Source organism: Homo sapiens, chromosome 2, assembly GCF_000001405.40.
Source record: "Homo sapiens chromosome 2, GRCh38.p14 Primary Assembly".
In the NCBI taxonomy this organism is placed as follows: domain Eukaryota; kingdom Metazoa; phylum Chordata; class Mammalia; order Primates; family Hominidae; genus Homo; species Homo sapiens.
In genome coordinates this window covers 161,925,049-161,949,531 of record NC_000002.12, presented here as the reverse complement: position 1 = coordinate 161,949,531, position 24,483 = coordinate 161,925,049, and the positions used below count along the sequence as shown (strand labels likewise).

Genomic DNA, 24,483 nt, shown 5'->3' with positions numbered 1-24,483 from the left:
AGAATGTTATATATAGGTATTTCAACTGGCAGAATTGACAGGAAATTTTTTTCAAGCAAGTTTTATATTTATAATTATTTATATTTTGTAATTCTTATATTTTTAAATATTAGACCTAAATTTTAGCCATGCTGTGTGCATTTCATTTACTGGTCTTCTAATCTAAATTCTTCATATTTTCATGAAAATCCTAAGTACTAGAGTTATAGGTATCATCTAAATGAAGATTAGACCGAGAGAGATGGGAAGAGGGAGAGAGATAGTAAGTACCTTGAAAACACTTGGTACTTGTAGTTTTGGAGATGGGATCCCAATGGCATAGTCAATTAAAACCATACACAGAATTGTAAGAAAGACAGCAAAGTCACTCACTATGGATCGAACCTAAAAATAATGAAAACACTTGTCACTTAAAGTAGCTATAAATATCAAGGAATACTCAGGAACATAATCTAGAGTCACACTTTATAAACACTTTATGACATAATATCATAATATTATATTTTATGCATACTATAAGATTACCATTAGCTCTGTCAGAACCTGAATATATATTTATGTATCACTGTCGTTAAGATTGGTACACACTCAACCTTTCCAGAATGAGGCATTATGGAATAGCTACATCGTGGTTGTGCTGTTTTCAATGTTTATTTAAAATCTAACTTTATGATGAACCCATGCATGTGAATATTCAGAATGCAGAATAAGGTAGCATGGGCAGAATTTGGCTGGATTTTAGGGATCTCTTTCACACAGGTAACACTTTAATATGATAAACTTGAAGCATCATAAAATAAAATTATCTGTTCTTATCAAAGAAACATAATGTTTTAGTTTATCTAGAATATAAGCATGACAGTTGGGAATGTACACAACAGAGTGGGCAAATTTAAAATTTATTCTATGTGAGCCAATTTTTAAAGCCATTTCTCATTTATAAAGCCAATTCTGAGCAAATATTCACATATAATTATTATCCAGATCTAGTTTATTTTAAGATGCCTTTATGACATACACACAAGCATACACAAAATGCTTAAGATTATTGTTTCAGCTTAGAAAAATGTTTTTGTATTAATCAGACTAAGATTTTTGGGGAAATAAATGAATCTTCCACCTTAGAGAAGAAAGTGGTGACAAAAAAGAAGCCCCCTTCGGAAGGAACAGTTCTTGAAATATTTTTCCAGAGTGGAATTTTGATCATAATCTATAGCTCATCCCTCAGAAGCTTGTTTCCTTGTTTCTTTTCCTTTTTTTAAATTTTTTTTGGCGGAATCAGACATTATAGGTGTTACTTTGCAGTGTTAAATATTGAACTAAGCTGTTTCTCTGTTTACTTTCCTTTCCAAATATGCAGATGCAAACGTGGTGGGTTAGGGGGAGGGACTGACGGTTTAAACATTGAAAAAGAGAATATTGTTCCAATGAGTCTTGCCGGGGCTTCCCCAATTAGAGAATGTAACATAGGCTCCTCTGAGGTATCTGTCAGGCTGGAATAGTTCCCACTGTTCACTGGGCAAAAAAGTGACAATCAGTAATGCAGTGTGTGCTGTGAATTTCCAAAAACGTCAGTAGGAAAGTAGGAGTTGATCCGTGGGGTTTGCAGTTAGGAGAAAAGCCTGCATATGCACTCCCAGCACCTGCATCACAAATTCTTTCTCTTCAGCCCCTCATCTCACTCCACAACTAACCTGGCAGCTCACTCACACAAAAGCCTTTCAGTGGCTCCTTTTATTACATCAATTACTCTTTCTTTTGTCCTATGTTATTTTACATTTAGATCAAGAAATAGTCTAAGTACCTTGGTTGGAAAATATCTGCTAGTCTTGAACTGCTTCAGGGTGGCTGACAGAGTAACTGTGGAAAAGAACAGGATCACAGACCAAAATAGAACATCTGGAACATATGGGTGATCATGGCCACAGGCCCGTCCAACATACTCTCCATGCAATGATTTGCATTCCTGCCAGAGGAAGTAAAACAAATGGAGCTACTAAGAAAAAACCGGACACATTTCTTGCAGAAAACTAACACCTTCTGATCAATTGTAGTTCAGATGCTGAGGCTTTTCCTTTATGGCTCTCACAATGATTTAGCAGGCATTACATTACGAGTTTCAAGTTCAACTTGGATGGGTGGTGAGAAATATGCAAAGGTTTATGAAAAATTTGAACATGAACTGCTTTTTAAATTTAAATGTATAAAACGATTGATTTACCAATTAATTAGTATGTATTAAATCTAATATCTACTAAGTTCCTAACACGAGATATATTGAAAATATGACATATGTAATAGTGATTGGTTACTAAGGTCAGACACTATGCCCAGCTATTTAAATACATCATTTAAATTACTTTTCACACCAATACCATAAAATATGTTCATGCTATTATTAATATTCCATGTCTGAGGAAACTGAAGCATAAAGGGGTTAAATAATTTGTTGTGGCCTCACCACTGGTGGGTGGCCGCAGAGCTGTGATACAAACACGATTTCTGCAGTGAGATTATTATTGCTTATTGACTAAGAACAATGACTTTGTAGAATTATCTAGTCCAAAAGCTGCCAAGAAAGATGAGAAAGGCAACAAGAAAACTATGACATACAATGACTGAAATGAACTTGTAAGTCAAAGATGGGACTATCGAACTTGGACTAAAGAACAAATGAAATAAAATTACTACATGAGCAAGGCAAAGCTCATATTTACTATGACTTCTCCATGGATTATTTTTTCTTCTGCAACTGTAGTTCTGTAAGAGCCTGAAGAACTATTTCTAATTACTGCCTTAGCCATGAGGTGGCAGCAAAGTCAAAAAAATTTTTTTCCTCCAGGAAAAACTGAGCATTTCAAACAAATATTTTGAATGAAAAAAAGTTATTTTAAACTTACTTTGGTTTATCTTATTTAAAAATTAGATTACTAAAGTATTTTTACATTTCAAAACAGGAAATAATGGTTTAAATGATCCAGTGATCTCATTAGTCCTTGAGATATTCTTGCCCTGAACATAAATTGAATTGCAGAGAGATCTTGGAGACAAATATGAACTGATAGATTGATCACAAACACAGAGTCTGCCCAACTTTAGGCCTGAAATCTTTGTAGAGCAAAAAGTAAATACACTCCAAAGATTGTAGAATAAATTACAAATAGCTACACTGTCATCTGAAAACAAACAACTAGTAAAATCTACTTGGAGTTGCTAGCTACCCTAAGCCTGAGAGTCTTGAGAAATATAGTTAATACACCTTATTATTGTCTTAAAGAATCTGTCTCCTTTTCTAATTTAACTGCAAACATCTTCCTTGATAGGCAAAGTTAAATTCCAATTATTCATGTTAAGCTAATACAGAGCACAGCAACTTGGCTAATTGAAAAACCACAGAAAAATCCCCCAGGCCTTAATTAAAGTTTTAATTTTCCTTCTTTCAAAATGCTTTAAAAATAGATAAGGTGGCAAAAATGAATCCTTGTGTTTTTCATCCTCTTCTGCACCTGTCCAGAAATGCTAGCAGAGCAATTATTAAGCAATATAATGGGTAGCAAAATTGCTACATAGAAAAAGGAGCTAAAAGTTCCATGATAAACACATTATCTATAAATTTGTGAGCATCTTTTGTCATTTCTGCAGGTATAAAAGTCATTTGGCGGGATCTTGTTCTCAATTCTTAAGAACATAGATGACATTTAAAGGGTTCCTTAGCTGTCTTACACTCTATAATTTGCCAATGGTCTGCCTAATTACATTAATTCAAAGCATATTTGAAAATGTTATTTATTTTCTCTTTGGGAGGAAACAAAATGCTAATTTTAAAAGAGAAAAATTGTGACCTGCTAAATTCAACAATTATTTTCAGATTTATACTAATTGTATCCCCAATACACACACAGAGGCACTCACACATGCACACATACATACATGCACACATACACACAGAGTAAGTCCTGAAATTTAGAAATGAAAACCAAATCCAAATCCTGCTCTCGTTTTTTGAGTCTAACATATGGTTTCAGTTACAATGGGTACTCAAAAAATGCTTGTTGACAAACTGATTTCTACTAATTACTCTTCAAACACATTCTAAGTTTCAGCAATTCTATAAGTTGGCAAAAATTAAGTTAGAATAAGAAATTAAAGTTGGCATTAGTGTCCTGCCCCTTATATATGTACAAGCTAAATATGTAATTCAGGCACTGAAACACCAAATGCTGGTTAACTGCTTATGAATATTTTAAATCTTGCCTAAGGATTTCTTATAAAGGCTGATTTTTGAGATACTGACAAATATATATATATATATATATATATATATATATATATATATATATATATATATACACACAAACTTAAGTACTCCAGTTTGCCATAAATATTTGCATTAAATAGTAAGATGAAACTGTTTCAAACAGACATTAAGTACTTCTATCAAATGTTTGACACTTACTATGCATAGAGCAGTTTGGGAGAATCAGAGAAAACTAAAGTTCTTTGCCCTTGCTGAGTTGGCAAGGTATAAATTATAATTCATGAGATATGTAACAAACAACTCAATAAAACATTACAGGACCTGCCAAACAAATAATATGTAAATTAAATGTTATGTCACTATTTTAACAAAATTAGTTGTGATAGCCACTAGTTCAGTGCTTTATTAATAAAATATTTTTGATGACATTATGAATATATTGAGGAAAAAATTCAGCATAACAATTAGACAAAAATTTTAATGGTCTTTTTTTGACTTAAAAATTACAAGATTGTTTTCATTATATAGTATTCCCTCTGGTGATAAAGACTGTTTCTGGTCAAGTTTAGCAATTATCCATTGCAAAAACTGCTTTTAACTAATGAAAAATAATATGAAACTTTCTGCTCAAATGTTAACACCTAGTACAAAACTTTTTAAAATGACAAAAAAAAAGAGAAAAAAACCAACAACCCCACAATGCTGTATTTGCTTTAATTGCAAAATATTTTTCACTATTCTACTTGACCTCAAAACTCAGGGTATCTAACTCACAGCTAGCCTGATAACTGTGCTGTATGTCTGCTTCTTAGAACTCTCAAAATTCAAGATTTGCTAATACATAGAAGGAATATTATTATTTAGTATTAAATTATTCACATAATACAAAACACATATAGAGTAAATTATCATGTTATATAACTTAGAGATGGGATCATTTGGGTTTTCATATTGAAGAAGACATCAAGAGGCTCTGTAAACATAATATAGTTTACCAAAGAAAGTGTAGACAGAAGACCCACTAATGATTTCATTAATCATGACCCCATGTCTAAATTCTGAATAACTATAGTGTTTTTTCTTGATCAGCTCATCAATTCTTTTATTGTTCAGTTTAAATGGCTCTTTGAGTGGAAGCAGACTGGCAATGTTATTTTTCTAGGGAAAAATAGGTGGAACAGAATAAATGTTAACAATAACAAAAGAAAACAATAAGAGTAACTGAAGGCTTATTCTACAGAACACAGCTAGGGTAAGAATAGAAGTAGTAAAATATAGGTCAAGATAGAATTTTAAATAAAGAGTAAGTAATTTGATTTCAATTTTGAAAGAACATATTCAATAGAGAAAATCAAGAATATAGTCAATAGATCATATGCTCTTTACAAGAATCATGTTTAGAGTTTTATAGTATCTGTACAACAAAAAAGATTTCTATGCTCACTAACTAGACAACTTACTAAAATAGTATGCATTTGATCAAATGAACTAGAACTCAATAGTTTTGTGCTGATAGTCATAATAAAACTTGAGCCTATATGGGTAGGTAAAGTGGTAGAAGGTTTGAACCTGTAATGTTTATAGCTGGGAAGAATAGAAAAGAAAGTAGGGCTACTCAGATTTTAATATTTATTTAAAGTAGAACACATTTTCAAATTACAAGATTTTATTGAACCAGAAGCATAGAATGCAAGTATTGATAGGAAAGGAGGCACAGAATAGATTCAGAAAAATAGAGAAATGCAGGTATGAGAAAAAAGAAATCACAAAGTAGAGAAAAGTCAAAGGAAATAAGACAATGGCACAGGATTGAACTGTTATAGGTGAAAAATATGTTGCCATGCTCTTTCTTGAGTGGGAGATAAGAATAAAATGGAAAAAAGAAAGATCTTGTTGAGGGAGGTGCCAGAATTTTGTGAAGAAAAGTGATATTTGTTCCTCCCAAAGACTTTAGTATTGACACTAGAATATTAGAAACATCCCTTTCCCCCCAGCAGATCCGGAACAGCTGGAGCAGCATTACAGAGTAAAGTAAGAGCATTCTGAGTTCTTTACACAGAAGGCAGACTTAGTTCTGCCATATGGTTTCATTTAGGTCAACACCACTCATATTTAATGTGCTTTCAGTCCATCTCGGTCACATATTTCTGTATAAGTGAGCTATTTGAGCAATTCTGGTCTTCTATTAGAACAACCTTAATAATGAAAGATAACCCCAGTTTACTGATGAGCATCTGAAATGATGAAATTAAAATTAAAACACAACTATTAGTTTTATATTATGCATTCAAAAAAATTTTACTGTAATGGCAATAATTGAGTCAAAATGTCAACAAAAGCTCTTAGGTATGACTTATTTTTCAGTGTTTTACTTACTGACACAGTTAGGTTCTCCCAAATTATGTCAGAGGCAGAAATATTGGATTCCCTCCATTCCTTCAATGTGCCATTGCTGGGATTATGCGGTTCCACACAGTTACACCTGAAAAGGCAAAATAGTGTCTTTTGTGAAATAAGTAGCTTTTTGTGACTGTACCGAAGACTAATGTATAACGGCTCCATTTTCTCCAGTCACAGCATTCCTCTATTTGACAGACAAGTAGTTAGGTTATCCTAAACTACTCCACAACAGACTATTTTCAAAAATCAAGATGGATAGACTGTTAGGATACTAGACTACTCTACAGTGTTTCCTGGAATGAGAGCCCCTTATGACACCCATTTGGCCCTAAATTATAAATCAAATAGAAAAATGATAAATATCCAAATCCATTGTTACTATGTAGTTAATATTGTAAAATCATATCAATTAAAATTAAAGGGGTATTTAATTCATATTCTGAAGATGATTTATAACTGGCATATAATTCAAAATTAAGGCTAGTTGAAAGGAGAACTCTAGCTACCTGAGGATATATCAGTGAGAAGAAGATATAGACAAAGATACCCACAAATTAACAGCCTTAGAAGTTAACCTCAATTTACAGTTTGTTTTCCAAAAATTCATTTGTAAACTTGCTATTTGCCCTTCATAAAGCATTTTCATAGAGAAGAATTTCATAAATGGTGGTTGGTCTCCCAGATTAACCCACATATACCACATAACTTGTAAGTTCATTGGACAGCTCTTTTAGTGATATTAATTGAACTATAGAACCGAATTGCCATTTCTAAGGTTATTACTATAGAAAATATCGTATAGTTTCTACTTGGTCTGCCTAAGCAACAGTCTCCCTTCTGCCTTCTACATCAGGAACTTACTCTGTTTCATTTCACCACCACTTATTCATTCTTTAAAGAGTTATTGTCTATTATTGCAAAAACAACTGAGTTGGGCAGTATAGACAGATATGGTTCTTGCTCTCACTAGGGAAATTGGAGGATTCTCCAGGGAGGCTCACTTGGAGACCCCAGAGAAACCTTAAAAACTGAGCTCCTGTCTATGATGGAACAGTAGGTCAGCCACACCCTGTAACACCCCCTACCTTGTTAACCACCAGTAGGCTTTCGTTCCTAAGGGTTAAACAGAAACAAGCTCTTTTGAAAGACTTGCTCCATGGCTGATTTCAACCAACCATGTTACGCTGCCCCTTGCTTTTTGTAGTTTCGACACAGCAACTGGCTAGCATTCCTTCCCAATAAGAGAACACTGAACATGGAGTGGTTCTGGCCAGTTTACAGAGACTGTATGCTGAGTCCCTTCATGTCCTCTGCTTAACCTTTTGACATATAGAGCTTAATTTTAGTATATTTAAATGCTTTTTCCACCCCAAAGTGAACATGGGACATATGTAATAGACATGTTAGCTTACTACACGTGTGCCCCTTCATGAATATTCATAGCTCCTCCAATAGCCGGTTGAATATGTATGCTAAACCAATCCATTTAGTATGAATTCCTGTCTCATTTTTCCTCCTTCGAAGCACCTGCTTTTCAGTTTTAACCAGAGGCTCCATTTCCCACTTGCAGGTTGTGATACTCCCTTTTAGAAATAAAGCTCTCCTCAGTAGATTTTGCTACTTTTTCAGTAGACATTATAAAGAGAAAAAAATTTTAAACGTGGAATGATTTTGAGCCTCTGGTGAAATGTTGAAAAGGAGAATTCATTTGATTGTGATGTTAGGAACATTGTTGTTTTCTTTCCTTCACTATGTATTTTTCGAGTTATTTTCTTAGTGGTTGCTCTAAGGCTTATCACATATACCCAGCTATTCTGTTCTAGATTGTTCTGTTATTTTTTACAATGTCCTGGGACATAAATTGCTCTGGGGGTCTGCTCCAACTAAATTCCAGCCTTTTTGCTGTGGTAGCCTTTTGTTTTTTGTTTTTAAAATATAGACAGAGTCTTGTTATGTTGCCCAGGCTAATCTCAAACTCCTGCGCTCAAGTAATCCTCCCACCTCAGCCTCCCAAAGGGCTGGGATTACAGGTGTAAGCCACAGTGCCCTGCCTGCTGTGGTCAGTGCTTGAGGTTTGTTCTGACCCAGGAGGGCTCTTCTTAGCTATCTCTTTTCCTGATTCTCTCTCATACACTAGCTAATCTGGTTTAGCTTGTCTCTTTCACGAAGCTACCAACCTCCCCTTAATTGCTTTCCACCAGAACTTACATTATTTTTGAGAATACCTTTATCTTGAACTTCCCTTTACTCTGCTTCAAATAAAGTCAGTTCCTTTGCAAAGAGCTTCAGTGCTCCCACTGGGGAAAATCTCTGACGCGCGGCTTCAGAGCTAGGGATGGGGACAGCATTGTGTTTCTCTGTAAGTGACTCCTCTGCTGTAGGAGCAGGGAGCTGAGCATGGGCAATAATCAGAGTCTCATTAATAATTGGGAACCCATACTATTCTCAGTGTTCCAGGCCTGAGGTTGAACCTCCACCCTACCAGTAGGAGCTGGGTGAGAGAAGGGAGCCCCAATATCTTGGATTCATCTAGCCAGAATTTAGCTTCTGGAGGGGAAGGGTGAAGGGAGACAAGAAACGCTGTTGGTCTTCTCCTCTTGGGAACATACAGTTGGCCTCAACTGGAAGCTGAGGAAGCCCTGTGTTCTTGTCCAGAGTTAAGCTTCTGTCATGCTGAGCTGGGAGGAGAGGAAGGGAAGTGGGTTGTGACTTAGGTGCCTTGGACTCATTGTTCTTACCAAGATTTAGTACACTTTTTGGAATAAATGTTTCTTCATTTGCTGTATACCCTTAAGAAAATTTCCAGAGACTTTTCATGATTGCCTTTTAAAATTACTTTTACCAGTATGGTTGTTTCACTGGGGAGAGGGTCTGCAGAGCTTCTTTTACCACCATTCTGGAAGTATATACTCATAACATTATTTGTAAAGTACTATAGATGTCATGACACTGGAGCCATGGAGAAGGAAGCATTGCACATTACTTGGTTCTACAGTAAATAATACTTACACAGTTATAATTACATAAAGATTTCTATATTTTTATAGAATTTTACATTCTATGTTTATAGAAAATCTATATTTTTACATTCTATAATTATAGAAAATCTAAAATTTACAGAATTTTATAGATTTCTATATTTTTAAATTTTTTAGAATCAATCTTTAGGCAAATTACTTAACACTTACCCATGGTTACAAAATAATATATGTTAATAGCCGCTACAACGGAGTTGGGGGTGGGGAGGTAGAAGGAGGAACACAGAGTTGGGAGGAAAGGTGAGAATTATTCATCTCCTCTTACAAAGTGGAATGTAAAGACAGTTACCTATGGCTGATAGAATCAGAAATGGAAATCTACATATGTTAATTGTGGCTATATACTTATAGCTACAGAGGTTACAGGGATGATGGAACTTAAGATGTGATATTATCGTATTGAAAAGGGAGGTAGAGTGAAGAGGAAGGTTGGGGATAAGTGTAGAAAATTAGCTAAATCTGGACAGGTGCAGTGGCTCACATCTGTAATTCCAGCACTTTGGGAGGCAGAGGCAGGCAGATCACAAGGTCAAGAGATCGAGACCATCCTGGCCAACATGGTGAAACCCCATCTCTACTAAAAACACAAAAATTAGGGAGGCATGGTGGCAAGTGCCTGTACTCCCAGGTACTGAGGAGGCTGAGGCAGGAGAATCACTTGAACCTGGGAGACAGAGGTTGCAGTGAGCAGAGATTGCATCACTGCACACTCTGCCTGGCGACAGAGCGAGACTGGTCTCAATAAAATAAAATAAAAATAAAATTAGCTAAATCCATATTTATAAGAGCAAAAAGTAAATTTGTCACACTTAACATGGGTAAAACAAGAAAAAAATATAAGCATATTATTTAGAAATTTAGAGGGATCACTAAAAATAATTTTAAAAAATTTTGTTAAAAATGTTGCCTTTGAGTGAACTGGTGCTTTAAATTATAATCTTCCTGTACTATTTGTGGGGTTTTTTTTCCCTAGGATATGTATGGACTATTTTGATAACAATAAAATGTACTTGAAAAAAATAATTAGTTCTTCTTGTGTCAGCCCTAAGTTTGCTTTCTCATTTCAGAGTGTACAAATTATCTCAAAATCTCTTTTATATTTGCTTTGTCTCTCTTTTTTTTTTTTCTCTTCTATAAGCTCCAAAGGTTTGCGATCATGGGGAAACCAGTTGAATACTTCTCTTGTACATATCATGCCCTTCTCAATGATAATTATATGCCCAAGATATTTGGATTATTTTCAACAGCAGAAGGCAGCCTAGCATGTTATAGGTTATAGATTATTATTATCGATAATAGATTATTATCGATAATAATGTATAATCTATAATATAATCTATAATAATAATAATCTATAAATATCAACTCTTATACACGAACTCGGATGTGATTTTGCATGTAATGAATCCTCACCATTTGTATACAAACTGTGAACTCAATTGCTGCATTGGAATGGTCTAACAGAACTGATCCCAGGCAATAGGCCTTGGTCCATAGTCCTCAGACTTCCAAATAAAGCTAACTTTTCTTTATTTAATTAATTCATTAATTAATTTATTTATTTGGAGACAGGGTTTCTCTCTGTCCCCCAGACTGGAGTGCAATGGCATGATCTCGGTTCACTGCAACCTCCGCCTCCCAGGTTCAAGCGATTCTCGTGCCTCAGCCTCCCGAATAGCTAGGACTGCAGATGATCGCCATCGTGCCTGGCTAATTTTTGTATTTTTAGTACAGACGGGGTTTTGTCATGTTGCCAGCTGGCCTCTAACTCCTGGCCTAAAGCAATCTGCCTGCTTCAGCCTCCCAAAGTGCTGGGATTATAGGCATGAGCCACCGTACCTGGCCTGATACTTTAAAAGCTTGATTTTTTTTTTCTTTAGTCAACAGGGCTTCAGCATATGAATTTGGGTGGGGTATGGAGAAAAATTCACTCTATAACAGTAACTTCCTGTTCTTTACTTCTCCTCCTTAAGGTACGGTAACCTTCAAGTAAGCCTCCACCTTAGGCTATGTTTTCAGGGGAACCTAGATTGCAGTAAGTTTTGTTCCACATGTTTGGTAACATTGAAAGCTTAGGCATCTAGGCATTCTGCACAATGCTTAATTAACTCAATAAAAAGTTAATGATTGTCATGCAAGACAGCATGCTAAGTTGGACAAGATAGATATAATCTCGGGGCTTTCTTTAAATGCAGGAGAGAAATCTTAAGTAGCCAATTACACAATTATTTGACTACATCTGTAAAATGTACTATAAAAAAGTCTGGGCTACTAAAAAGATAAACAAATAGGCATCCACACCTTGAGTCTGGGTGTTCAAGGAAAACTGAGATCTAAAAGAGGGACAGAATTTGGTAAGACATAGTGTGGGCACGGCAGTGAGGGTGGGGAACTACAGAGAATAAACAGTGTTAATTTGGTTGAAACAGAAGGGGTGGAGGAAGAGATGGGGTATGGATCTGAGATAGGCAGGGTCTAGACTGTGCAGACTGAGTGCTGGGGGGCCTGGTAAGTATATTGCATATTAAAATAATAACACTAAATAGCCTTTGGTTTGTGATTAACATTGATTATGCTGCCATCATTTAAGGTCCAGATCATTAACTGAAATGATACTTTAAACCATATTGAGTATCTTTTTTTTAACACAATGGTATGCGACTAGAAATCAATAACAGGAAGAATTTTGGAAAATGCAGAAATATGTGGAAATTAAACAACATACTCCTCAACAACCAGTGGGACAATGAGGAAGTTAAAAGATAAATTTAACAATGTATTGAGACAAATGAAAATGGAAACACAACTTGCCAAAAACAAATACTTTTGTAGATTGCAACAGTAAGAGTTCTAAGAGGAAAGTTCATGGCAATAAACACTTACATCAAAAAGGGAGAAAGATCTCAAACAACCTATAACATTGTACCTTAAGACACACAAAATAAGAAGAAACTAAGCACAGAGTTACTAAAAGGAGGAAAATAATAATCAGAGCAGAAATAAGTGAAATACAAAGTAGAAAAACAATAGAACTGCTCAACATTTTATTGTTGAAATAGAACATTCTATTCTATTCTATCTAACAATAGAACAGCTCAACTAAAGGTTGGTGTTTTGAAATAATAACAAAATCAACAAATGTTGAGCTAGACCAAGAATAAAGGAAAGAAAATTCAAACAAATAAAATCAGAAATGAAAGAGGAGACATTAAAATACACTACAGAAATGCAAAGGATTATAAAAGAACGCTATAAACAATTATTATCCAACATATTGAATAACCTAGAAAAAAATGGATAAATTCCTAGACACATATAACCTACTAAGGTTGAATCAGGAAGAAATAGAAGATCTGAACAGACCAATAATAAGTAAGGAGATTGAATCAATTACCAAAAGCCTCTCCCAAGAAAGAAAAGCCCACGACCTGATGGCTTCAGTGCTGAAATCATCAACCATTTAATGAAGAACTAATAATACCAGTTCCTCTGAAACTCTTTCAAAAAATTGAAGAAGAGAAGTACATCCAAACTCATTTTATGAGGAAAGCATTACAATGATACCAAAGCCAGACAAGAACATTACAAGAAAATATTATAGGTCAATATCCCTGATGAACATAAATGCAAAAACCTTCAAAATATACCAGCAAATTAAATGCAACAACACAGTAAAAGAATAATTCATCATGATCAAGTGAGATATATCCCAAAGATGCAAGGATGATTCAACATTTACGAATCTATAAATGTGATACACTACATTAATATAATAAAGAACAAAAACCATGTGATCATCTCTACAGACACAGAAAAAGCATTTGACAAAATTCAACATTCTTTCATGATAGAAACTCTCAGAAATTAAACATAGAAGGAATGTACCCCAACACAATAAAGACCACATGTGATAAACCCACAGCTAATATCTTATTCAATGGTGAAAAGTTGAAAGGTTTTCCTGCAAGATCAGGAATAAGACAAGAATGCCTACTCTTGCCACTTTTAGTCAACATTGTACTGGAAGTTCTAGTCATAGCCATTAGGCAAAAGAAAGAAATAAAAGGCATCCAAATTGGAAAGAAAGAAAGAAAGAAAATTATCCTTATTTGCACATAAAAATGGGTAGCACTTTAACACCCTAACAACAAACTATCTGAAAAATAAAATCAAGAAAACAATCCTGTTTGCAATAGTTACCAAAATAAATTTCAAATACTTAGGAATAAATTTAATCCAAAGGAGGTGAAAGACCTGTACACTGAAAACTATAAAACATTGATGAAATAATTGTAGAGGACACATATAAAAGGAAAAATATCCTGTGTTTATGGATTGGAAGAACTGATATTTAAAATATCCATACTAACAAAAGCTATCAACAGATTCAATATAATCCCTGCCAAAATGCCAATGACATTTTTTACAAAAATAGAAAAAAGCAATCCTAAACTTTGTATAACCACAAAAAACAAATAACCAAATAAATCTTGAGCAAAAAGAACAAACCTGGAAGTATCACAATATCAAACTTCAAAATACACCACAAAGCTGTATTACAAGGCAGCATGGCACTGGCATAAAAATAGACACAGAGGCCAGTGAACAGAATAGACAACCCGAAATAAATCCATGTATTTAAGGTCAAATGATTTTCGACAAAGATGCTGAGAGCACACAGTGGGGAAAGGACAGTCTCTTCAACAAATGGTGTTGGGACAACTGAATATCCACATGTGGAAGAATGAAATCAGACCCTTATCTCACACCATATTTAAAAAAGGATTAAATACCTAAAACCACTATAAGAAAACATTGCCATTTGTCTGCATAATTTTTTTTTGGATTTAACCCCAAATCACAGACTGGGAAAGCAAAGATAGACAAATGAGATTACATCAAACTAAAAAGCTGCATAGCCAAGAAAATAATCAGCAGAGTGAATATACAACCTATGGAATGAGATAAAATATTTACAAACCATAAATCTGATAAGAGATTAATGTTTAAAATATACGAGGAACTCAACACAACTGTAAGAAAAAAAACAAGGTTAAAAATGGGCAAAGTATCTGAATAGACATTTCTCAAAAGAAGACATACAAATAGCCAATGGTATGTGAAAAAATGCTCAAATCACCAATGATCAGAGAAATGCAAATTAAAACCACAGAGATACTACCTCACATCTATAAGAATGGTTATTATCGAAAAGATGAAAACTACTCACAGTAGCCAAGATTTCGAAGCAACCTAAGTATTCACCAACAGATGAATGAATAAGGAAAATGTGGTACATATATATGATGAAATACTATTCAGCCATAAAAAGAATGAGATCCTGTCATTTGTGTCAACATGAATAGAAGTGAAGGTCGTTATATTAAGTGAAATAAGCCAGGCACTGAAAGACAGACTTTGCATGTTTTCACTTATTTGTGGGAGCTAAAAATTAAAATAATCGACCTCATGTAGATAAAAAGTATAATGATGGTTATCAGAGGCTGGGAAGGGTAATGAGGGGTGGGCAGGCAAGTGGGGGTGGTTAATGGGTACAAAAATATAGTTAGGTAGAATGAATAAGATCTGGTATTTGATAACACAACAGGGTGACTACAGTCAACAATAATGGATTGAACATTTTAAAATAATTTAAAGAGCAAAATTGGATTGTTTGTAACAGAAAGAAAGAACAAACGCTTGAGGTAATGGATATCTCATTTACTCTGATGTGATCATTACACATCAAAATGCCGGTATCAAAATATCTCATGCACCCCATACATATACACACTTACTGTGTGCACAAAATTAAAAATTAATTTTTTTTTAAAGATGAAAGTGTCTGAACAAGTGTTGGCGAGGAGGTGGAGAAAGGGAAACTTTTCACATTGTTGATGGGAATATAAATTAGTACAGCCATATGGAAAACAGTACGGAGTTTCTTCAAAAAATTAATAGACCTACCATATGATCCATCAATTCCACTACTGGATATGTACCCAAAGGTAATTAAATCAGTAAATGGAAGAGATATCTGCATTCCCATGTTCACTGTAGCATTTATTCACAGTAGCCAAGATATGGAATCAACCTAAGTGCCCATCAATGGACGAAAGGATAAGTCAAACATGGCATTGAGGCTGAGTGTGGGGGCTCATGCCTGTAATCCCTGCATTTTGGGAGGCCAAGGCAGGAGGATTGCTTGAAGCCAGACCTTTGAGAACAATCTGGGCAACATAGCAAGAATGTTGTCTCTATAACAAATTTTTTAAATTAGGCAGATGTGGTGGCATGTGCATGTTGTCCTAGTTACTCGGGAGGCTGAGGCAGAAGTATTGCTTGAGCCCAGGAGTTCCAGGCTGCAGTGAGCTATGATTGTGCCACTGTACTCACTGGGTGACAGAGTGAGAGCCTGTAAAAGAAAGAGGAAAGGGAAGGGAAGGGAAGGGAGAAACAAAGAGAGAAAGAGAGAGAAAGAGAAAGAAAAGAATAGAAAGAAAAAAGAGAAAAGAGAGAGAAATAAAGAAAAAAGAAACAAAGAAAGAGAAAGAAAAAGAAAGGAAGGAAGGAGAAAGAAAGAAGAAAGAAAGAAAGAAAGAAAGAAAGAAAGAAAGAAAGAAAGAAAGAAAGAAAGAAAGAAAGAAAGAAAAGAAGGAAGGGGAAAGAGAAAGAAAGAGGAAAGAAAGAAGAAAAGAAAGAAAAACAGGCAGGAAAGAAAGAGAAAGAAAGATAAGTGGCATATATACATTGTGGAATACTTTTCAGCCTTAAAAAGGAACAAAATTCTGTCATTTTGACAATTTGGATGAATTTCAAGGACATTATGTTAAGTGGAATAAGCCAGGCACAGAAAGACCAATACCTTGTGATCTCACTTATATGGGGAATCTAAAAAGACTGAACTCATGGAAATAGAAAGTAGAATGGTGGTTATCAGGGGCTCAAGGAGTATGGGGAGAAAAGATCAGACCTAGACACATCTAGAGCAACTGTAGCTCCAACTCTCAAGAAATGGCATTAAAGAAAAGTACTTGAACACTGAGAGGTCTTTTGAAAAGAGTCAGTGGATCAAACTCCCTACAGTAGTAAAGATTGTGGTAGAAAGATCCTATACTTTACATTTTTCCAAAGATAAGTAGGAGGCAGATCAGGTGAATCCTGAAGTTCCAGAACCACCACAGATGCCCAATCCATGTCATCATCCACATAAGAGTTTCATGTTCCTCCATGATCTGATCCTGAGTCCCAGTTTGGGACTCAGAGGCAAGTCCTAATAGAAATAACCTTTCATACTTAATGAAGATACCGAGGTACTAGACTAAGGATTAAGGATAGTAAAGCTCAGTAGCATGTCCATAGTCTGAAATGAGATGAGTGCTTATTTTAAAAAGTAGAATCTAATGTATCCATATTGATCTTGGATCCTGCTCCAAATGGAGGCTTATACATTATACCCATGGTAGCCTCCCTCAAAGTGTCAATTTGGTCTGCAATGTCTTTTTCTGAATGTCTTGCTTTGGTTTTACAGTAGTGGCAGTGTTAGGTAAAAAGAATTAGGTGAACAAGCAAGGATCATAGGTCTGCAAATGTCTTGCTACTGTTCTGCTCATACATATCTGAACCTGCCAACCTCAGTCTGTAAGCCAGTTCACTAGTAAGGAGTAGTATGCTCCCTTAATGAGAAGATTCTCCCAAATTGATTTCTCTGTTACTTTATCTCAGAAAAAAAAGGCCCAACACCATAAGAGTTTGATGGGAAAACATTTTCATACTCTGAAAACCTAGTATATTTATTAATGACAAAAAGGAAACTAAAACACAAAATAGGGAAAATATGGCAAATTTCTTGCAGGAGTGTTATAATAAGAGAGAACTAGCATTATAGTGGATATATACATGAAATGCATGTGTGTGTACATAAAGTGTATATAGGTATACTTTTATAACATCTATAAAACAATTTTATTTAAAGGTAGGTTGGGAACAAACACATTAGTTCTTTGATCTCCTTTATATTACTGCCAACGGTAACAACAATAGAGATTTAAAACTATCCCATTTTTATATTTTAGCAAAATCCCTGTCGCTCTTCTAAGTTATCTTACCCACCCAAGTAACAAAACCAGAGCAAATTGTAAGTTCTACTCATTTGAAGCGTGGATTAGTAAACTGAAGACACAACTGATTCTAAATTAATTTTTTTAAAGCTCCATTTTATGCTTTTACTCTGATGCATCCTGGAGGAAAACAATCTTTATTTAAAAGAAAATTAGTCACTACTTAAAGATTTAAAAAGTATTAACACATTTTTAAAATAAATAAAAAAAGGCTGGATTGGGGCAATGCTTGGCTCCTGGGAACCAGTATCATGGTGTTCAGCTGTAAGATTGGCCCATTCATCCTCAACAGCAACCTGGCCAATTTAGGTACCAAGTAACTCCAGAAGCTGGAGCTGATTATTTGCAGCTGGATGAAACGTATAGGTATTTTGTTCCGAACATCACCTTTGCTCATTCTGTGGTAGAAAGTCCCCAAAAGAAGCTAGGCCAGAGTCCTGTCTTTGACATGCACTGGATGATGTCCAGGCCAGAAGAGTGGCTGAAGCCAATGGCTGTGGCAACAGCCAATCAGCCAATCATCTCAGGATATTGAGAACACAGGGACTTCGATAAAAAACATGGGGAGACTAGCCTGGCCAATATGGTGAAACCCCCTTTCTGCTGAAAATACAAAAATTAGCCAGGCGTGGTGGTGCACGCCTGTAATCCCAGCTACTCAGGAGGCCGAGGCAGGAGAATTGTTTGAACTGGGAAGCAGAGGTTGCAGTGAGCCAAGATTGTGCCACTGCACTTCAGCTTGGGCCACAGAGCGAGACGCGTCTTAAAAAACAAAATAAAACAAAACAAAACAAAACAAAACAAAACAAAAACATGTGGCAGAATGAGATGAAGATTAGATCTTACCAGAGATCTTATCTACTTTGTCAACTTTGCTGGAAGGGCAGGTTATTCAGTGATTTCCCTCCTTTCTTAATCTTACCTACAATTTTTAATTCCACCTACCATTTAACAACATTAGATAATGCTGTTGTGTTAGCTCTGAGTAGAAAGGAGAAGTATTACTTCTATAATTAGTAATACTCACTAATACTGAATTACTTCCATTTGGAGGTAATATTGAGTTGAATACTGATTCTGCCCCTTTCTAGCTATTGATCTTAGCAAATCACCCAACCCCTGAGTTTCTATGAATTCATTATATAACTAATTAATATAATTATAATATAAATTAATATAATTTATTCAGTAAGTATAATTATAACAACTGGACAGGATTTCTTGAGAATTAAAAGAGACACCATTCTATATATAATGGTGTATAAAGCTTCTAGTACTATTCCTAGAGTTTCATGGATGTTCAATACAAAGTAACGGTCATATAACTTTGTGTTTTATGGGTTATAAACTACTTTGATATAATTGCATTAAATCTGCAAATCACTCCTTTGAGTGGTAGGAGAGATTTTTGTTCTGTTTAAAGAAAATGAAGAAACTAAAGCTCAACACAGGCTTTTCTCATGGAAAGAATCCAGCAGTGCATGTGATTTCTGGTCTGCACTCTTTACAAATGGAGCCTTTGGGAGGTAGGTTAAACAAACGAAGCTTCTCTTACTTAATATTACCTTATTTCCAGTCTAAATTTACCCTGTAGCAGAACCAGATGGCTATGAATATTGTGAAACTATAGATCTTGGTCCTAAAAGGTATGTATATTTATTATTCCAAGAAAGACCAGGTAGCTTAGGAGATGACAGGGTACAGAAGTAACTCACAAACTAAAAGATTTATATAGTGTCCCAAATTATACTTAGATAACAAATATGTATTAACTACTTCCTTCTTATAAATATTCTTGATATATAATACTATGGCAAGAAATAAAAAAATTAAAAACCAGAATGGATACTCTGATTTTTTTTTCTGTATAAATTGTGAGAATTTGAAAACAAATGTAAAAATAAATCTCTTAAGGCTCAGGTTCAGGGCTTCCAACTTTGTGAGGAAGAGATATTTTCTATTTTAAAGTTTTAAGATCCTTGGAGATGTTTCCATCAATAAACTGAACTGAGCACAGTAAGGGGAGGGCCCAAATGCTACCTGCTTTGCCTCCCGACTGGGAATCCCAACTAACTAAACATGTGGAATTGAGGAAGCAGAAATGACCTAGCTGGCTGGTTGAAGATCTGTCATCTATCGGGAGCATCCTGATAGATGATGCTCAACTCATTGGTCAGGGGTCCCTAGCTTAGGTGCATGTAAAAATATGTGTGACTTGTTGAAACTGCCATATGCTCTCTAAAGTCTGTTAGAATTACAACACGTGTTTAAGCTGTTAGCAGAGAATGGAATAATTATTTTAGATATTTGCCTAGGCACATAGATATAGTCCTATAATTCTGATTTAAAACATCTGAACATAAAGAAGCATAGTGGATCTGCCTCGGTTCCTAACCCAGCATTGTCATGAATTCAAATAATTGTATCACAGGTGACCATTGCACAGTAGTGCTATCAACAAAACAAAACAAACTGTGTAATATCATTCACTAGAAGCAAGAGTCTCTTTCTCGTTGAAGTAAATTAGTAATATATTGTCTGAATCTGTTTATTAAGTGGCAAACATCCTTTTTTTTTGGTTGCTAACAAATAGAATTCCCTAAGATGGTCAGTTAGTTTACCTCAGAAATAAAAGGGCCAGTACTATAGTTTAACAGAAAGTTATTTGCATATTTTGAAAATTTGTTAAAAGTAAATCCATACATAAGAAACAAAAATATAAAATAGAGAAAATATGGCAAGTTTCTTGCAGAAGTAACATAACGAGGGAGAAAGATAGCACTATCGTAGATATGTGAATACCTCCATGTACAAATGTATATGTGTATATACATACATATATGTTTTCTGTAGCTACTGTATATCTATGCCTATAGGTATGGCGTGCATACAGTTGCTATACGCATGGCATATAGTGGATTTTCTAGTTTAATAGTTTAATTGCTACATTTTATAGATGGGAGGAACTAAATGTTTGATAACTTATCCAAGGCTACACTGATAGAAATAAACTTGAATCCAGGTCTGTCCCAACCTGAAACTCCTACTTTTTTTTTTTTTTTTTTTGCTTTCAAGGATTGTTATGATTTTATTTTTGCTCTTGAATGAGAGGGACAGCCATTGAGAAGTTTGTTTTTTTTTTTAATTTTCAAGATATTTTTATTATATATTATACTTTTTTTATTCTGTTATTATTATACTTTAAGTTTTAGGGTACATGTACACAATGTGCAGGTTAGTTACATATGTATACATGTGCCATGCTGGTGTGCTGCACCCATTAACTCGTCATTTAGCATTAGGTATATCTCCTAAAGCTATCCCTCCCCCCTCCCCCCACCCCACAACAGTCCCCAGAGTGTGATGTTCCCCTTCCTGTGTCCATGTGTTCTCATTGTTCAATTCCCGCCTATGAGTGAGAATATGCCGTGTTTGGTTTTTTGTTCTTGCGATAGTTTACTGAGAATGATGATTTCCAATTTCATCCATGTCCCTACAAAGGACATGAACTCATCATTTTTTATGGCTGCATAGTATTCCATGGTGTATATGTGCCACATTTTCTTAATCCAGTCTATCACTGTTGGACATTTGGGTTGGTTCCAAGTCTTTGCTATTGTGAATAATGCCACAATAAACATACGTGTGCATGTGTCTTTATAGCAGCATGATTTATAGTCCTTTGGGTATATACCCAGTAATGGGATGGCTGGGTCAAATGGTATTTCTAGTTCTAGATCCCTGAGGAATCGCCACACTGACTTCCACAATGGTTGAACTAGTTTACAGTCCCACCAACAGTGTAAAAGTGTTTCTATTTCTCCACATCCTCTCCAGCACCTGTTGTTTCCTGACTTTTTAATGATTGCCATTCTAAGTGGTGTGAGATGGTATCTCATTGTGGTTTTGATTTGCATTTCTCTGATGGCCAGTGATGGTGAGCATTTTTTCATGTGTTTTTTGGCTGTATAAATGTCTTCTTTTAAGAAGTGTCTGTTCATGTCCTTTGCCCACTTTTTGATGGGGTTGTTTGTTTTTTTCTTGTATATTTGTTTGAGTTCATTGTAGGTTCTGGATATTAGCCCTTTGTCAGATGAGTAGGTTGCGAAAATTTTCTCCCATTTTGTAGGTTGCCTGTTCACTCTGATGGTAGTTTCTTTTACTGTGCAGAAGCTCTTCAGTTTAATTAGATCCCATTTGTCAATTTTGGCTTTTGTTGCCATTGCTTTTGGTGTTTTAGACATGAAGTCCTTGCCCATGCCTATGTCCTGAAATAACCAATACAGAGAAGTGCTTAAAGGAGCTGATGGAGCTGAAAGCCAAGGCTTGAGAACTACGTAAAGAATGCAGAAGCCACAGGAGCTGATGTGATCAACTGGAAGAAAGGTTATCAGTGATGGAAGATGAAATGAATGAAATGAAGTGAGAAGGAAAGTTTAGAGAAAAAAGAATAAAAAGAAACAAACAAAGCCTCCAAGAAATATGGGACTATGTGAAAAGAACAAATCTACGTCCGATTGGTGTACCTGAAAGTGACCGGGAGAATGGAACCAAGTTGGAAAACACTCCGCAGGATATTATCCAGGAGAACTTCCCCAATCTAGCAAGGCAGGCCAACATTCAGATTCAGAAAATACAGAGAACACCACAAAGATACTCCTCGAGAATACCAACTCCAAGACACATAATTTTCAGATTCACCAAAGTTGAAATGAAGGAAAAAATGTTAAGGGCAGCCAGAGAGAAAGGTTGGGTTACCCACAAAGGGAAGCCCATCAGACTAACAGCGGATCTCTCAGCAGAAACTCTACAAGCCAGAAGAGAGTGGGGGCCAATATTCAACATTCTTAAAGAAAAGAATTTTCAACCCAGAATTTCATATCCAGCCAAACTAAGCTTCATAAGTGAAGGAGAAATAAAATACTTTACAGACAAGCAAATGCTGAGAGATTTTGTCACCACCAGGCCTGCCCTAAAAGAGCTCCTGAAGGAAGCACTAAACATGGAGAGGAACAACTGGTACCAGCCACTGCAAAAACATGCCAAATTGTAAAGACCATCGATGCTAGGAAGTAACTGCATCAAGTAACAAGCAAAATAACCAGCTAACATCATAATGACAGGATCAAATTCACACATAACAATATTAACCTTAAAGGTAAATGGGCTGAATGCTCTAATTAAAAGACACAGATTGGCAAATTGGATAAAGAGTCAAGACCCATCAGTGTGCTGTATTCAGGAAACCCATCACACGTGCAGAGACACACATAGGCTCAAAATAAAGGGATGGAGGAAGATCTACCAAAAAAAAAAAAAAAAAAAAAAACCAAAAAAAGGCAGGGGTTGCAATCATAGTCTCTGATAAAACAGACTTTAAACCAACAAAGATCAAAAGAGACAAGGCCATTACATAATGGTAAAGGGATCAACTCAACAAGAAGAGCTAACTATCCTAAATATATATGTATCTAATACAGGAGCACCCAGATTCATAAAGCAAGTCCTGAGTGACCTACAAAGAGACTTAGACTCCCACAAAATAATAATGGGAGACTTTAACATCCCACTGTCAACATTAGACAGATCAACGAGACAGAAAGTTGACAAGGATACCCAGGAATTGAACTCAGCTCTGCACCAAGCGGACCTAATAGACATCTACAGAACTCTCCACCCCAAATCAACAGAATATACATTTTTTTCAGCACCACACCACACCTATTCCAAAATTGACCACATAGTTGGAAGTAAAGCTCTTCTCAGCAAATGTAAAAGATCAGAAATTATAACAAACTGTCTCTCAGACCACAGTGCAATCAAACTAGAACTCAGGATTAAGAAACTCACTCAAAACCGCTCAACTATATGGAAACTGAACAACCTGCTCCTGAATGACTACTGGGTACATAATGAAATGAAGGCAGAAATAAAGATGTTCTTTGAAACCAACGAGAACAAAGACACAACATACCAGAATCTCTGGGACACATTCAAAGCAGTGTGTAGAGGGAAGTTTATAGCACTAAATGCCCACAAGAGAAAGGAGGAAAGATCCAAAATTGACACCCTAACATCACAATTAAAAGAACCAGAAAAGCAAGAGCAAACACCTTCGAAAACTAGCAGAAGGCAAGAAATAACTAAAATCAGAGCAGAACTGAGGGAAATAGAGACATAAAAAACCCTTCAAAAAGTTAATGAATCCAGGAGCTGGTTTTTTGAAAGGATCAACAAAATTGATAGACCGCTAGGAAGACTAATAAAGAAGAAAAGAGAGATGAATCAAATAGACACAATAAAAAATGATAAAGGGGATATATATCACCACCGATCCCACAGAAATACAAACTACCATCAGAGAATACTACAAACACCTCTACGCAAATAAACTAGAAAATCTAGAAGAAATGGATAAATTCCTCGACACATACACCCTCCCAAGACTAAACCAGGAAGAAGCTGAATCTCTGAATAGACCAATAACAGGCTCTGAAATTGTGACAATAATCAATAGCTTACCAACCAAAAAGAGTCCAGGACCAGATGGAAACTCCTACTCTTTTAGCTATTGTATGCTGCCTCAATATGTGACTTGGTGCTGTTTCTATCAAGATAGCCAGAAGAGTGAGATGACTCCAGAACAAATGAAGTAATCTACATTTCA

At 35.5% G+C, this 24,483-nt stretch overlaps 1 protein-coding gene and 1 pseudogene across 27 annotated transcripts in view; one reads left to right on the top strand and one right to left on the bottom strand.

Annotated features, from left to right (window-relative positions):
* Nucleotides 1-24,483, bottom strand: part of SLC4A10 (solute carrier family 4 member 10) — a 360,855-nt gene that overhangs the window by 35,739 nt on the left and 300,633 nt on the right. For all 27 annotated transcript variants that reach the window (NM_001354461.2, NM_001354447.2, NM_001354441.2 and 24 more), the window contains 3 exons: nt 6,635-6,740; nt 1,805-1,966; nt 271-384 (listed from right to left, as the gene is read on the bottom strand). In NM_001354461.2, coding sequence (NP_001341390.1) covers nt 271-384; nt 1,805-1,966; nt 6,635-6,740 — 382 coding nt within the window. The remainder of the gene's footprint in view (nt 1-270; nt 385-1,804; nt 1,967-6,634; nt 6,741-24,483) is intronic.
* RPEP5 (ribulose-5-phosphate-3-epimerase pseudogene 5) lies at nt 18,066-18,333 on the top strand (annotated as a pseudogene).